This window comes from Homo sapiens, chromosome 10, assembly GCF_000001405.40.
Source record: "Homo sapiens chromosome 10, GRCh38.p14 Primary Assembly".
NCBI classification, from domain to species: Eukaryota; Metazoa; Chordata; class Mammalia; order Primates; family Hominidae; genus Homo; species Homo sapiens.
In genome coordinates, this window is record NC_000010.11 from 46,800,477 (window position 1) to 46,815,524 (window position 15,048).

General features: G+C 42.6%; 2 pseudogenes across 1 annotated transcript in view; one reads left to right on the forward strand and one right to left on the reverse strand.

Moving 5' to 3' along the window:
• Positions 1-11,513, forward strand: part of BMS1P1 (BMS1 pseudogene 1) — a 25,257-nt pseudogene extending 13,744 nt beyond the window's left edge. Inside the window, exon 9 of the transcript NR_003611.2 lies at positions 8,520-11,513. The product of NR_003611.2 is annotated as a BMS1 pseudogene 1 (transcript). The remainder of the gene's footprint in view (positions 1-8,519) is intronic.
• On the reverse strand, positions 6,982-7,097 carry RNA5SP311 (RNA, 5S ribosomal pseudogene 311; annotated as a pseudogene).
• Positions 11,514-15,048: the final 3,535 nt, after the last annotated feature.

Here is a 15,048-nt window from a genome sequence, read left to right on the forward strand (position 1 = left end):
CACATATCTCTGTTGTTTATTTATAAATTGGAGAACTCTCTGATGTGTAACAAAGGTTGGATAGATCAGAGACAATTGGAAGACGAATCCTCTACTCTATTGTCACCTCTTCTTTTTCTATTCACACATGTCAGATAGAGACATGCGTGTTGTAAATTATTTTGTCAGAATGAAAGCCTGGCAGATTAAGTGATTTCTTCTCTTTTTGCTGTACTTGATATCGATCTCTTGTTCATTTCTTGATAATATGTTTGGTTATTTTTGTTTTCATTGCTTTTGGTGTCAGAGATGGCTTTGGATTCCCTGTTCTGTGTGCTCCTGTCTGGCTCCTGAACCCAGCTGGAGAGGTGTGTCAATCCCAACTGGTGAAGTACTGAGAGGAAGCTACACAAAAGGCAGCAAGGTGTTAATAAGTGTACCTCTGACATTTTAACCACCTCTGACTTTTCCATGGAATGGACAAGTAGTAGTCTCTGTCAGAGCAATGTTTTAAAGGAAAAAAAGAAACTTGAGGTCGTAAACTGTTCATTAATTTATGCTGTTATTTTGTGTTTACTCAACTCATTTATATTGACTTGTAAATTAGTAATTTATGAACTACTATTCATCAATTCATTGCCTACATGTCAGCAAACAAGTTTTCTTCTTAATAAAGAATCCGGTGGCTGGGCACAATGGTTCACACCTGTAATCTCAGCATGTTGGGAGGGCAAGGCAGGAGGATTCCTTGAGGCCAAGAGTTCAAGACCCACCTGGGGAACATAGCAAGATTTCATCTCTACAATAAAATGAAAACATTGGCTGGGCATGGTGGCTCATTCCTATAGTTCAGGCTACTCAGGAGCCTGAGGTAGGAGGATCACTTGAACCCAGGAGTTTGAGGCTGCAGTGAGCTATGATCCTAACACTCCTCTCCAGCCTGGGTGACACACCAAGAGACCATCTCTTCAAAAAAGGAATCTAGGGGCATCAGTGTGTGCACACAGCATGGCTTGTGAATGCGGAAGTGCCTGTGTGCATAGTTGTGCTCAAGAATGTGTTGATGATTATATCTTCTCAGCATGAAAAAAAGTTGTTTTTTTTTTTTGAGATGGAGTCTTGCTCTGTCACCAGACTGGAGTGCAGTAGCGCTATCTCGGCTCACTGCAACCTCTGCCTCCTGGGTTCAAGCGATTCTCCTGCCTCAGCCTCCTGAGTAGCTGGGACTACAGGCACACGTCACCACTCCTGGCTGATTTTTTGTATTTTAGTAGATACGGGGTTTCACCATGTGGGCCAGGATGGTCTTGATCCCCTGACCTCGTGATCGGCCCACCTAGGCCTCCCAAAATGCTGGGATTACAGGTATGAGCCACCGTGCCTGGCCTGAAGTTCACGTTTATAAAGATCTCTCTACATCTTAGATTTGATTCTTCCTTTAAATATTTTTCTCATTGACATTTGAAAGCACCTGACCTTATATAAAATGAAGAACTTTCATAACTCCATAAAAGGAGAATTATGACATCATCTACTATTTCTTTCTCTTGTCTCATAAATCTAAACCATCAACCTGCTTATTTTTGTATACTGTCACACTGTGTATTCCCTGCATTGAATGCATTTCTATTGACATTGTCTGTAAAAATTGTGGGAAGTTGTCTGCACCCTAAATTTTCTGTTATGGGGATTAAATATCCAGTATCCATGTTTTTCCAAGTCTTACATCAGAAAGGGTAAATACAGCCCTCACAGCAGCCTGTTGTTTGTCCTGCAATTGTGTTTCCATCACATTACACAAAGCCTCTTTGTCTTCGTGGTTGTACCCTGCTAATAAGTTTTTTTTTAAATTATGTAATGTGTGTATATACAAATACCTATATGTATGTGTGTACACATACAGCTGATATCTACTGAGATTATGTATGCATGAACTATAGAATTAACTTGCAATTTTAAGAAAATAAATTATTTTGTAAAGATAAATCTCATGTTTAAGAAGGGGAATTACAATTGAATCATTTAGGGATGCCTCAGCCTAAACATAATATGGAAAAAGCCATAACCAAAAGTCATTTTAGAGTACTGCTAGGTTGCTCAACCTATCATCACATTTAATTAAAATGTCAGTTTGAACCATGGCCAGTCGATTTTCGTTAATATGTTATTTAAATCAACTTGTGAAGTCTTCATTTTAGATATAGAATTTGTGTTAATGAACTGGAAAATAACATTCTATTGCTTGGAAGATGTGTTAAAGCCTAAATATTTATGACTTTGTAAAAGAAGAAAACCAGCTGGTGATCAGTTGGCATTAGTATATAAGGATGTACTCATATTTGATAATAGCCATTTTTTTCTAACAAGAGTAAGGGAGTTGGGAATGGGAGGCAGAGACAGGGACACAGATATATAAAAAATTGTAGACAAAACTGTATTGCGTTCTGAGTATGGTTCTGTGATCCATGGTTCAGTTTGAGAGGTTCCTGTGTCCCTTATGAGAAGGGACAGGAAAGCCAGGAGGACAGGAGTATGTTTGGGCCTGTGTCTGTGCTTCCACCACAGAAGTCAGCAGCTCTACCTTTCTCTTTTCTCCTCTTTATCTAATAATTGTTTCCTCTTCAAATTTGGGAAATGAGCTTAATCAAAGATTTGTTGTGTTTTTTGTTTGTTTGTTTTTGAAATGTGGCCTCAGTGTGTTTGCCCAGGCTGATCTTAAACTCCTGGGCTAAAGTGATCCTTCCTCTCAGCGTCCTGTGTAGCTGGGACTACAGGCATGTGCCACCACACCCAGCTAAGTTAATGCTAATGTGTAGTTTATCTGATTCAGTTTTGAAGGGCAGGATATATATAGATAGTTATGTTGTGTGTGGTGGGGGGGTAGTGTTTGTGTGTGTGTGTGTGTGTGTGTGTGTGTATATATATATATATTTATATATTACTAGTCCATTGCTGCTACAACAAACTACCAGTATGTCAGGGCATAAAACAAATTTATTACACTCCTGTATGTCAGAGTGTGATGTGGATCTCACTGGGCTAAAATCTAGGTGGTGGAAAGGCTACCTTCATCTCTAGAGGCTCTAGGGGATCTTTTTTCTCGCCTTTTCCACATTCTGGAGTCTGCCTGCATTTTTTGGCATTGGGCTCTTCTCCACTCTCACCATTAGCAACCTTGCATCCCATGGGCCCTTCTTCTATGGCCACATGTCTCTGTGGCTCTTTCCTTCCCCCTTCTCTTCCACTGTTAAGGACTCATGTGCTTACTTAGTCCTGAATGGAGACACCGTCATCATCCACATGAGCCCACTGTCCGAATCCGTACAGGCTGCTACAAGGAAATGCATTAGACCAGGTAGCTTATAAATAACAGAACTTTGTTTCTCACAGTCCTGGAGGCTGAGAAGTGCAAGATCAAGGTGCTGGCAGTCTTGGTGTCTGGTGAAGGCCTGCTTTCTCATAGAGGCTTCCTCCTTGCTGTGTCTTCGCATGGTGAGAGGAAAAAACAAGCTCCCTTGTGCCTTTAATAAGGTACTAATCCCAGTCATGAGGGCAGAGTCTCCCGTAAGGCTTAACCTCCTAATACCATCACCTTGAGGGTTAGGATTTTAACACATGAACATTGACGGAACACAACATTCATTCCATAGCACCAGGGTAGTCTCCTCATGTCAAGGTCTTTACCTGAATCACATGCATGATGTACCGTTTTCATGTAAGGTTCTAGGAATCTGTGGACATCTTTGGGGGGCCATTATTTTGCTGATCACATATTACATATATTTTAATATTCTAGACTAGTATGAAAACAATGCTACTTCCATTGCTTTATATACGTATATATATACACATTGTCTAATGCTATAATTAAAAAAAAGTTGTAGACACAAATATACCCATTTAAAAAAAAAATTTTTTTGCTATTTTACTTCATACTGCCAACTCCTTTTTCCTGAAACTGCTTCAACTCTGGAATTCTTTTTTGCTATTAGTTTTATTTTATTGAAATATTCATGAATGAGCATACACTTGTATATGGATGTAAAATTCACAGTAATGTTCTCATGAATTCATCTGTGAATAACATTTTATAGACAAAATGTCTGCACTAGGACAAGAGAAAGATCTATAATTCCTTTGTTCTAAGGTAGCGCCATTCATTGTTATTATTTTAAAATACGAGTGTCGACTGATGTTAAAACACAAAATGGGGCCGGGAGTGGTGGCTCCCGCCTGTAATCCCAACACTTTGGGAGACCGAGGTGGGCGGATCACCTGAGGTCAGGAGTTTGAGAACAGCCTGGCCAACATGGTGAAACCCTGTCTCTACTAAAAATACAAAAATTAGCTGGGCATGTGTTGCGTGCCCATGATCTTAGCTACCCGGGAGACTGAGTCCGGAGAATCGCTGGAACCTGGGAGGCGGAGGCTGCAGTGAGCCGAGATCATACCAGTGCACTCCAGCCTAGGTGACAGAGTGAGTCTCTGTTCTTCCCCCAACCCCCCAAAAAAACACTAAAAGGGATAATTGGCCAGGCACAGTGGCTCACGCCTGTAATCCCAGCACTTTGGGAGGCCGAGGTGGATGGATCACCTGAGACCGGGAGTTTGAGACCAGCCTGACCAACATGGAAAAAACCCATCTCTACTAAAAATACAAAAATTAGCCGGGCATGGTGGCACATGCCTGTAATCCCAGCTACTCAGGAGGCTGAGGCAGGAGAATTGCCTGACTCTGGGAGGTGGAGGTTGCTGTGAGCCAAGATCGCACCATTGCACTCTAGCCTGGGCAATAACAGCAAAACTCCGTCTCAAAAAAAAAAAAAAAAAAAATTATAACTGGGCAGTGGAATTGAAAATCATTTTAAAAAATATCCAAAATACCTAAGGAACTTGTATAAATAAATAGGAAAAAAAAAGAGAAAAAAAGAAGCCCACAAAAAAGCAGATTTGTAAATGGGCAATGGATTTGAATAGACATTTAGCCATAGAAGGCATCCAGTTGGTGAAAAGGCATATGGAAAGGTGCTCAGCATCACTGATTATCAGGAAAATGAAAATGAAAACCGCCACGAGTGGTTTAGACCATAGCGGCATGCATGAAAGTTTTCAGACCTCCAGTTGTTGGGAGTGGCTGAGGAGATTGGGGAGCTTCTGTCTGAGTTGGAAGAGTGGAGTCTCAACAAGAACCAGTGTATTCTGGACATGTGTGCGCCCTGTAGTGTTCATGGCTGGATGCCTTGTCTACCTGTGCCTTACAGAGTGACACCATTGTGGTGTGGTCGATCAGAGGGGCAGGAGGCTTTCAGAGGGAGTGGGAAGTGGTGGGGCTTGGTTTGTTTGCCCATGGATGACAGCAAAAGTGAGTTGGCTTCCCAAGAACTTTTACCAGTAGCCTGTTTTGCTACAATTCTAGACCCAGACTGGGGTCCCAAGGCATCATAGCCCACAGCTTCTTAGCAAGTGCATGTTCAGTTGGATCCCCCAGCTCAGCCTGGGTCATCCCCACATTCTGCCTCTTGGGCCATACATAGCTCAGCTCTGTACTGAGCCATCATCCCATGGTGAGCAAGACCCCATTCTTGGTCTTCAGTCTCTTTCCCTGCAGCATGCAATCAAGGTGGTGGCTGGAAGGGGCCAAGGAGCCACATGTCACAGTGCCCTGCTGCCTGAACAAGGACCAGAGGCCTGTGGAACACATGGCTCTCAGATTTCTCCCATTTGATGACTCATCAGCTGCCCCCACATGGCTTTCTAGCTCACAGCAGATCTAGCCTTCTCTGAGCAGTGAAGATGGGATGTTTTATGGTCATTTTCCCTGGTGTGCAGAGCTCAAGTGGAGTTCTTCAGCACACCCTACACCATCCCCTCACTAACACCCCCACCTGTCCAGTCTTACCTGCCTTCATATCAAAAGCACTCAGTTAACCCAGAGGGCTTCAGCCCTGCCCTGCCTGACTTTCTAGGAAGCCCCTCTCTCCACCCACCCTAATCAGACACTGTCTGAAAGTTCCCCCTCATCATTTTAAAAGGAAGAGAAATTTTTCTGACACAGAGGTTCTGGTGAAGTGGCCAGCTCCCACATCACAGGGTGATGGCGGTTTGGACTGGACCAGGATCAGACAGTGCTGTCCTGGGGCTGGCCATCTGATAAGGGGCTCCAGAAAGGGCAGTGATGGACCCCTGGGAGGCTTTCTGCTCTCCTGATCACAGGTTTTTGGTGAGAGGACCTATTGGCCACTAGGGTGTCTGCGGGTGTGTGTATGTGTGTGTGTGTGTGTGTGTGTGTGTGTGTGTGTGATGTGTGTTTACTTGGAGTGACTTCTTTCAGCATGAAGCCCACTGTTTTGCTGAATGTATCTCACTGTTTCCTGAAACTCAGTACATTCAGCTGGCTTAAGGGTCCTGGGGCCTCGCTGTGTCATATTTGCACAAGCCTAGTGTCTGTGCAGACTGTACACTGGAGTTCAGTTGTAAGACCCTTTTGAACCCTTATTCTGTTCCTGTAATAGAAAAGCCATTTCACTCAATGGAATAGAAACCCAGATCTAATGGAGAGATGTTCTAATCTGCCATACACTGGGGCAGTGGCTAGTGATTTGGACTTTGTGGCACAGATGGAAATTTCCAGGTTCTCTAGGTGGTAGGCAGAGGCCTCCCTTTTTAAGAAACTCCCCACTCCACCCCTGCCAATGAGGACGTTGCTTAGAGGTATTTCTATCAGTGTTGAGTAGAAGAGATCATTTCTTGGTGTTGAATTTCAGGTAAGGATGCCAGCTTCTGCATATCAGGGTGATGATGTTTGGGCTGCGACAGGTCTAGACAGCAGTCTGAAAGGGGGCTCAAGGAAGTAGCTGTGAAAGGCCCCTGGGATGTTTTCTGCTCCCCTTTCTGCAAATCCCCTGGAGGGAGATCCTGTTAGTCACTACAGGATGTGTGTGTGTGTGTGTGTGTGTGTGTGTGTTCATCACTTGTTGCTTGGGGGTGGGAAGAGACAACAACAACCTACAGAATCCAGAGTTCTCAGTTCATCTCCCATCCTAGTCCAATCATGGCCTAACATCCTTAGCTACCGATCGCAGAGGAGACTGCGCATTTGTGTTCATGTGGCCTTGGATGTTGGCAGATTCAGATTGGTGCCCCAGGCATCTGTGCCTGTAACTGCAGTTTCAGCGGGCTCAGGACCAGGCTAAAGGGCCTCCAAGCTTCCTCCAGTTTCCTGGTGCATGCATGTGCAATATGCTCCCCTGGCCTGGGTCTTTCCTGCTGCTTCTTGCCAGTTGGGTCAGAACTAGCTTATTAACCAGTTTTTCTTCTGAGCTTTAATCGAACTGGCTCCAACCAGTTGGAGGCTTGAAAAGGGCTACGTGCTAGTTATAGATTTTTAAAGATATATTATTATTTTAGAGTAGTTTTGAGTGTACAGCAAAATGGAGTACAGAGTCCAGAGATCTCATATGCCCTCAATTCCTGTATACTCTCGGGTCACTCCACCAACAACCTCCTACACCAGAGCCACTTTGAAACATTAGAAAATATATTTGAGCATTCAGAAATGTATAAACTAGGCAGCCCCAGACTGCAAGCAGCTCAGAGGTCCCACAGAGAGGCTTAGGGAGGGTGGGGGAAGAATTTTATATGGTGAATGTGGAAGAAAAAGAAAATACTTGATTGGGTAAAGTGGAGCAGTGGCCTCATTTGGAACATTACAGTGGAAGGTCTCTAGTTAGATGTTAGTTGGTGGTTTCTGATTGGTTAAGCTTAAGTTTCCTTTTATTATTTACACTGAGTCAAGTTTTGGTTTATTTAAGGAGGAATTGAGTGCACGGCAGCCACCTCAGCCTCATGGCCACCTGTTTATTGGATTATTTTAACAGAGAAGATCCTTTAAAAAATATCTGTTACCCTGGCTGGAGTGCAGTGACGTGATCACGGCTCACTGCAGCCACAACCTTCCAGCTCAGGTGATCCTCCCACCTCAGTGCTCCCCACCCTGAGTAGCTGGGACTACAGGCATGTGCCACCACACCACCATGCTAGGCTAATGGTTTGTATTTGTTTAAGAGATGCAGTTTCCCTAAGTTGCTTAGGCTTCTTTTGAACTCTTAGACTCAAATAATCTGCCTGCATTGGTCTCCCCAAGTGCTGGAATTACAGGCCATCTAAATCTTTTATCTCAGATTTGCCTTGTGGCAAAAGGTGGGGTACTTTTTCTGACATGATGAGGCAGAGAAAGATGAGGTGGGTGCATCCTGTGCATATGATTTTCTCAGGTGATGGGAATATGGTGGGCTCTTGCCTAATGGGATATATTTTCTCTTTGAATGATTTGGCAAGATATCAGATGAGAGAAGTTGAATAAATGTTAGAAGAACATAGAAAAAATAGGTTATACACGTTGGGTTTCTGAAGAAATGATGTCATTGGAGAAACAAAACTTTTATTGATTTCTGGAAACATTTAGGGCCAATTTTTTTGTGTAAGTAATTTGAATTTATGATGATATCTCTGACCACTTTTTGATATTTTTTCTGGTTCAGGTGAGTGGTGTCATTGAGCAAACACAAAGTCGGGCTCATCCAAGGATGAGATTTTGCCAGAGAAAGGACGAGCAGCAAGTCAGGGAGCTTAAGGTAATTATGAGAAAGTGACTATCTAAAATTGCTTAGGTAGAAGGAGACAGATTGGATTTTTGTGTGTTTGGTATTTGGGATAAGAGGGATGTGGGTGTGTACTTGACATGGGTTGTTTATTCTCGCTCTCTCTCTTTTTTTTTTTTTTGAGAGGGAGTCTCACTCTGTCACCCAGGCTGGAGTGCTGTGGCACAGTCTTGGCTCACTGCAACCTCTGCCTCCCGAGTTCAAGGGATTCTCCTGCCTCAGCCTCCCGAGTAGCTGGGATTACAGGTGCCTGCCACCATGCCCGGCTAATTTTTGTGATTATTTTTTTTAGTGGAGACGAGGTTTCACTATGTAAGTGAAGCTGGTCTCGAACTCCTGACCTCAGATGATCCACCCGCCTCAGCCTCCCAAAGTGCTGGGATTACAGGTGTGAGCCACCGCGCCTGGCCTGTTTATTCTCTTAAGAGAGAAAATGAGGGGATTAATGGACTGTAGTTCTGGACAAGGTGGAAAACTCTTAAAGTGGAAGTATTGGGGCGAATGCTCTGACAGGCTAGGATGGTGCAGTCAGTCCCTTCACCCAGAAATCAGTAGAATGTTAGCAGTTCAGACTCAAACCTTGTGAAAAACAGGTGGTGGAAAGGAAATCCCTCACAGCAACTGGCACCATAATCAAGACAATGTTTGCAGAATAAATGGAGTTACCTGCTTTCAGCCCCAGGTCATAGCTATTGTCTGCCCTGCTGATATGTGATAATAATTTGTGATCATGTTGTCTTAAAATGGGGTCACTCATCTCCAGTAGAATTAAGTCCACAGTGAAGTTGTCCCCCCATCCCCAAAGAGATAAACATATATGAATGAACTCACGTGATAACAACTACTGCTGCCTGGGATCATGAGAGACCTGAACTGAACTGATAGGAAGTGAAAGGTGGCTGAGATAATGAGAATAGACCCATCTGCAGAGGATCATAAAACCAGCAAAGACAATATCTTGTCTAAGATGCCTTCACAAACTTTGTCCATGAGAACTCTTAAGGATTTCACCAGACCTGTTGGCTGCTGCTGTGATCTCTGCCCAAGAGGAGCCTCTGACCAACATCCAAAGGGCTTCTGGACCCACTGGACTCCTCTGGAGGTACCTTAGTCTCCCGATCCATGGCTGTGTTTTTTTACTCCCTTTATCGCTGCCTGTGTGTAGAATGATAATTGCACAATTGATAGTGTGAAGACCTCTTGATAAATGGTAAATCTGAGCATATGTATTTGGCTGACATGTCATTGTGAAACCTCACAGCTTCAGTCAGTGTCAACGCAGCTAGGGAGCATGTACCTAATGCACATATCACTGGGCATAGTCTACAGGCACCTAATAACTCAGGTACCTTAACAGTCACTAATGAGTGTCTCTCCAAGGACTAAACAATGGAAGACTGTAGAAGATGCTATTCATTAAGATATCTCAAGAATATGGAAGACTATTATTCACTTCTCATGGGACAGGACTTTATAGGGCACCTGAAAAAACTCCCATGAAAAATCACTTTTACAAAATGTCAAGTTATGATATCCAAGATGAAACCAATGAGTCACAACATTCACATAATACACTGTACAACCCTGATCTCTTGACTGTCATCAAATGTTTCTTACCTCTAAACCAAAGTTTCATTTTATAATTTAATTTTTCTCATTTTTTCCATTCTCTTAGCTTAAGAAAAGATCATTACAAACTTTTTGTAAGTTTTTCATATATGCTTGCAAAGGGTTGTAAAACTTTATTGTGATTATTCTTGCTTTAAGCTGAAACTTCCCTAATCTTTCTTTAGAGATTGTGGCATAGCATGTTAGTTTCTTTTCCATATCCAATTGTTTTCTGTTATGAATACAGAAATACAGGCACTGTCTTGTAACTTTAAATAGACATCATCTCAAGTCTACAAGAATTATCCAAAATGGTATTTAATGACATTTCTAGGTCTTCAGACACTATTAATGCAGATTGTAGCCTCTAGGTCCTGAAGATTTTACTAGATACTGGTTACTGAAACTGAGCTTTCTTGAATTCTTTTTCCTTCCACTGTGGTTTCCCGCATTTCAACATATCACCTATTTTTGTCCTCAAAGGTTACTTAAATGTTTTCCACAGAATTAAATTAAATATGAATCATCCCTCCTCTGATTTTTGAAATGACCCTTTGCTTCCTATGATAATGATTCTTCTGGTCCGTTTTGTAGTTATATGTTAGAGTTTGTAAATAGTCACACATTTTGCAACTGCATATAATTTTCTTATTATTTTTTCCTCTTCCTCTAAAACTGCTGTTATTTCTTTTAACTTTTTGTGGGAAAAATTAAACCCATCTTTCACTTTGTTGATATACTTATTTATAATTGAACTCCTTGATTTTTGCTCGAATTGCTTTTCAAGTTACCCACTTTTAGGGAAGACATTATTTGGGTTTTGTTTAGTGTATCAGGCTTTTTTTAGTTAGTTGTATCAAGAAGTGTAGACTTTTCTATACATAATATCCTTTTTCCCACAGTATTTTTTTTTTTTTTTAAAGTCTAGCCAGGTGCAGTGGCTCACGCCTGTAATCCCAGACTTTGGGAGGCCGAGGCCGGCGGATCACGAAGTCAAGAGATGGAGACCATCCTGGCTAACACGTTGAAACCCCGTCTTTACTAATAATACAAAAAATTAGCTGGACATGGTAACGGGTGCCTGTAGTCCCAGCTAATCAGGAGGCTGAGGCAGGAGAATGGCATGAACCCAGGAGGCAGAGGTTGCAGTGAGCCGAGATCGTGCCACTGCACTCCAGCCTGGGTGACAGAGCAAGACTCCATCTCAAAAAAAAAAAAAAAAAAAATTATGTTAAAATAAAGGTCATCAAAAGATATTTTCCTAAACCTTTCCTTTACCAGAAATATCTCTAGTGTCACATGGTCCTTTCTCCCTTCTTGCTTTTGTAGGAATCCAAAGCTAATCTGTCCCTGATCCGGATTGCACGCACCTGTGCCTTTTGGGGCCCTTCTGCATTAGTTCTTCCTTCTCTTCTAACCTCAAAAATGTGTTTTCTCTATTGGCTCTTTCCCTTTAACATAGAAGTATACTCACGCTTTTGTTGAATCTTGAAATAAAAGGCTTCCTTTACCACATATCTCCCTTTAATACTACATCTCTCTTCTCAGCCAAATACTTGGGAAGAGAAGCCCTGAGTTTGTGTCATTGTTTTCTCACCTCCAGTTCACTACTTTGCCCACTGCCTGACATCCAGCTCGCTCACACACACACCCAAGCCCAATCACTAAGTTGCCATAGCTAATTTGTAGCTTTCCTGCCTTCCTGGCAAAATTTGACTCTGCATTGGGATAATACATGTCGAGTACCTATTGAACAGGCACTGTGCTAGGTGCTACTGTTATAGATATGAAAAGAAGGCATCATCTCCTTTCTAACAACTCACAGGAGCAGCCATTTCTGATTCATACATGTCTCTTGACTCCCAGTGCTCACTTTTGCAAGCTTCACTTAATGCCGTGCAAATCACCCTATTCTCCAGGTCTTCTTTCTTCCCAGTTCTCCTTACTATACACAACTTCTCAAGGCAGTCACCTCCACACCCATGGCTTCAATTGCTTTCTCCATTCTCTGAGAACAATAGAATTTTAAATGGTTTTATTTCATGTATTAGCTTTATTTTATACAAGGTGCCTCACCTGCTGTAACCATAGATTCAAAGTTGCTCCATGAAAGTAATAAATGAAAAATGGTGATTTTTTAGCATGTAAATTTTAGGAAATTTCCCCAGTTACGCTTAATGGCTTGATTTAGTGTGTATGTTATTTTTGAAAACATATGTTGGGATGTCACAAATGGACTTAGCCTACAGAGATTTATATTCAACTTTTGACCAGAGAGTTCCATTTTAATGTGACACTGAGAGTAAAAAACTATCTTTTCCTCCTTACCTATTTCTCTTCCTACATTCTCGGCCAGGAGGAAGGCACTGCTACACACCCAGTCTTCCCCAGCAGAGCCTGAGCAGCTCTGTTTTCCTTCTACTTCCCCTCTTCTTTCACATCTCATGACCAAGCACTTCCTATTCTGTCTCCCAAATGATCACAGACTTTTTCCTCCACTTTTGTCACTGCCACTGCCCTTAGCATTACTCTGCCTTTAGAGAAAGTCTCTTAATTGGTTGGGTTGCTTCCTTCAGTCTTTATTATACAGACCACTACACGCACATCTGACAGAGACTTTTCACCTTTTTATGGTTGAATGACTGAAATTCCCAGAATAAAATTAAAACCACCCCAGCATCAAATTTGAGGTCAAATAGAGGTGGGTTTGTATCCCAGGTTCATATACTGTCCAGCAGTATGGTCTCAGAAAACTGACCTCCTTAAGCCTTTGTTTGTGTATCTGCCTACACTCATTGAGAGTTGGGACTATTTCACACATACAGTGCCTGGCATGTAGAAGGGACTTAATCAATGTTGAAAGAAGGGGAGGCATTTTAAAATCCACATCAAAAAAATGTTGTTCTGTTCGGGAGTGGTGGCTCACGCCTGCAATCCCAGCACTTTGGGAGGCCAAGGCAGGTGGATCACCTGAGGTCAGGAGTTCGAGATCAACCTGAGCAACATGGTGAAACCCCATCTCTACTAAAAATACAAACATTAGCTGAGCATGGGGGCGGGATCCTGTAATCCCAGCTACTTGGGAGGCTTAGGCACTTGAATGAGAATCACTTGGACCCAGGAGGTGGAGGTTGCAGTGAGCAATGATTGTGCCACTGCCTGGGCCACAGAGTGAGACTCTGTCTTAAAAAAAAAATAAAAAGTAAAAAAAATTCTTTTAAAAATATACGAATCTGGCTGGGCACGATGGCTCATGCCTGTAGTCCTAGCACTTTGGGAGGCTGAGGTGGGCCTGACCAACATGGAGAAACCCCGTCTCTACTAAAAATACAAAATTAGCCGGGCATGGTGACGCATGCCTGCAATCCCAGCTACTTGGGAGGCTGAGGCAGGAGAACCGCTTGAGCCCGGGAGGCGGAGGTTGCAGTGAGCCAAGATCACGCCATTGCACTCCAGCCTGGGCAACAAGAACGAAACTCCGTCTCAAAAAAAAAAAAAAAAAAAAAAAAAAATAGTGTTCAGCAAGGTTGAAGCATAAAAGGTTAATAGCCAGAATCATTTATCAATTGTATTTCTATACATCTACAAGACACAATCTGAAAATGAAATTAGAGAAACAATTTCACTGGGCAACAAGAGCAAAACTTCGTCTCAAAATAATAATAATAATAATAATAATAATAATCTACAATGTCATTTCCCATCCAAGCTTGACTTCTACCTTTACTTTCTGATATGGTTTTGCCATGTCCCCACCCAAATCTCATCATGAATTATAATCCCCATAATCCTGATGTGTCGAGGGAGGGGCCTAGGGGGAGGTGATTGGATCATGGGGGCAGTTATCCTCATGCTGTTCTTGTGATATTCAGTAAGTCCTCATGAGATCTTATAGGGTTTTGTTTTGTTTTTTGGGATGGAGTCTTGCTCTGTTGTCCAGGCAGGAGTGCCATGGCATGATCTTGGCTCACTGCAGTCTCTGCCTCTTGAGTTCCATTGATTCTCCTGCCTCAGCCTCCTGAGTAGCTGGGATTACAGGCATGCACCACCACACCCAGCTAATTTTTGTATTTTTAGTAGAGACAGGATTTCACTACATTAGCTAGGCTGGTCTCAAACTCCTGACCTCAGTTGATCCACCTGCCTTGGCCTCCCAAAGTACTAGGGTTACAAGTGTGAGCCACCGTGCCCAGCTGAGATCTGATGGTTTTATACATGTTTGACAGTTGCTCCTTCACATGTTCCCACTCTCTGTGCGGCCACCATGTAAGTCGGACCTGCCCTTCTGCCATGATTGTAAGTTTCCTGAAGGACTTCCCCCTCTGCCATGATTGTTAAGTTTCCTGAGGCCTCCCCAGCCATGTGAAACTGAGTCAATTAAACCTCTTTCCTTTAAAAATTACCCAACCTCAGGTGTTTCTTTATATCAGTGTGAAAACAGACTGCTATACTTTCTGATACTCATGCTTAAGCAATTGGGGAATTCAGACTACCTGGGATCAAACTATGGCCCCACCCTTAGCAGTCATGTGACCTTGGGGAGGTTACTTACCTTCTCCATCTCAACAACTTCTGTAAAATCTGTAACATGAGATTGTTTCTGAGGGTTAAATGAGCATAGCACAGTGGGGACACTGTCAGGCACACACTACTTGCCAGATGTCGAGTATTCATCTTTATTGAAATAGGACTGTGGTAAGCCACTTTATGGCTCTCGATTTTGTATGAGAAAATCATGCTTAGTGCCTTGTTAGTAAAAGAAAGAAAACCTGAAAGTCCCTGCCATGGAAGGAAGAAATAG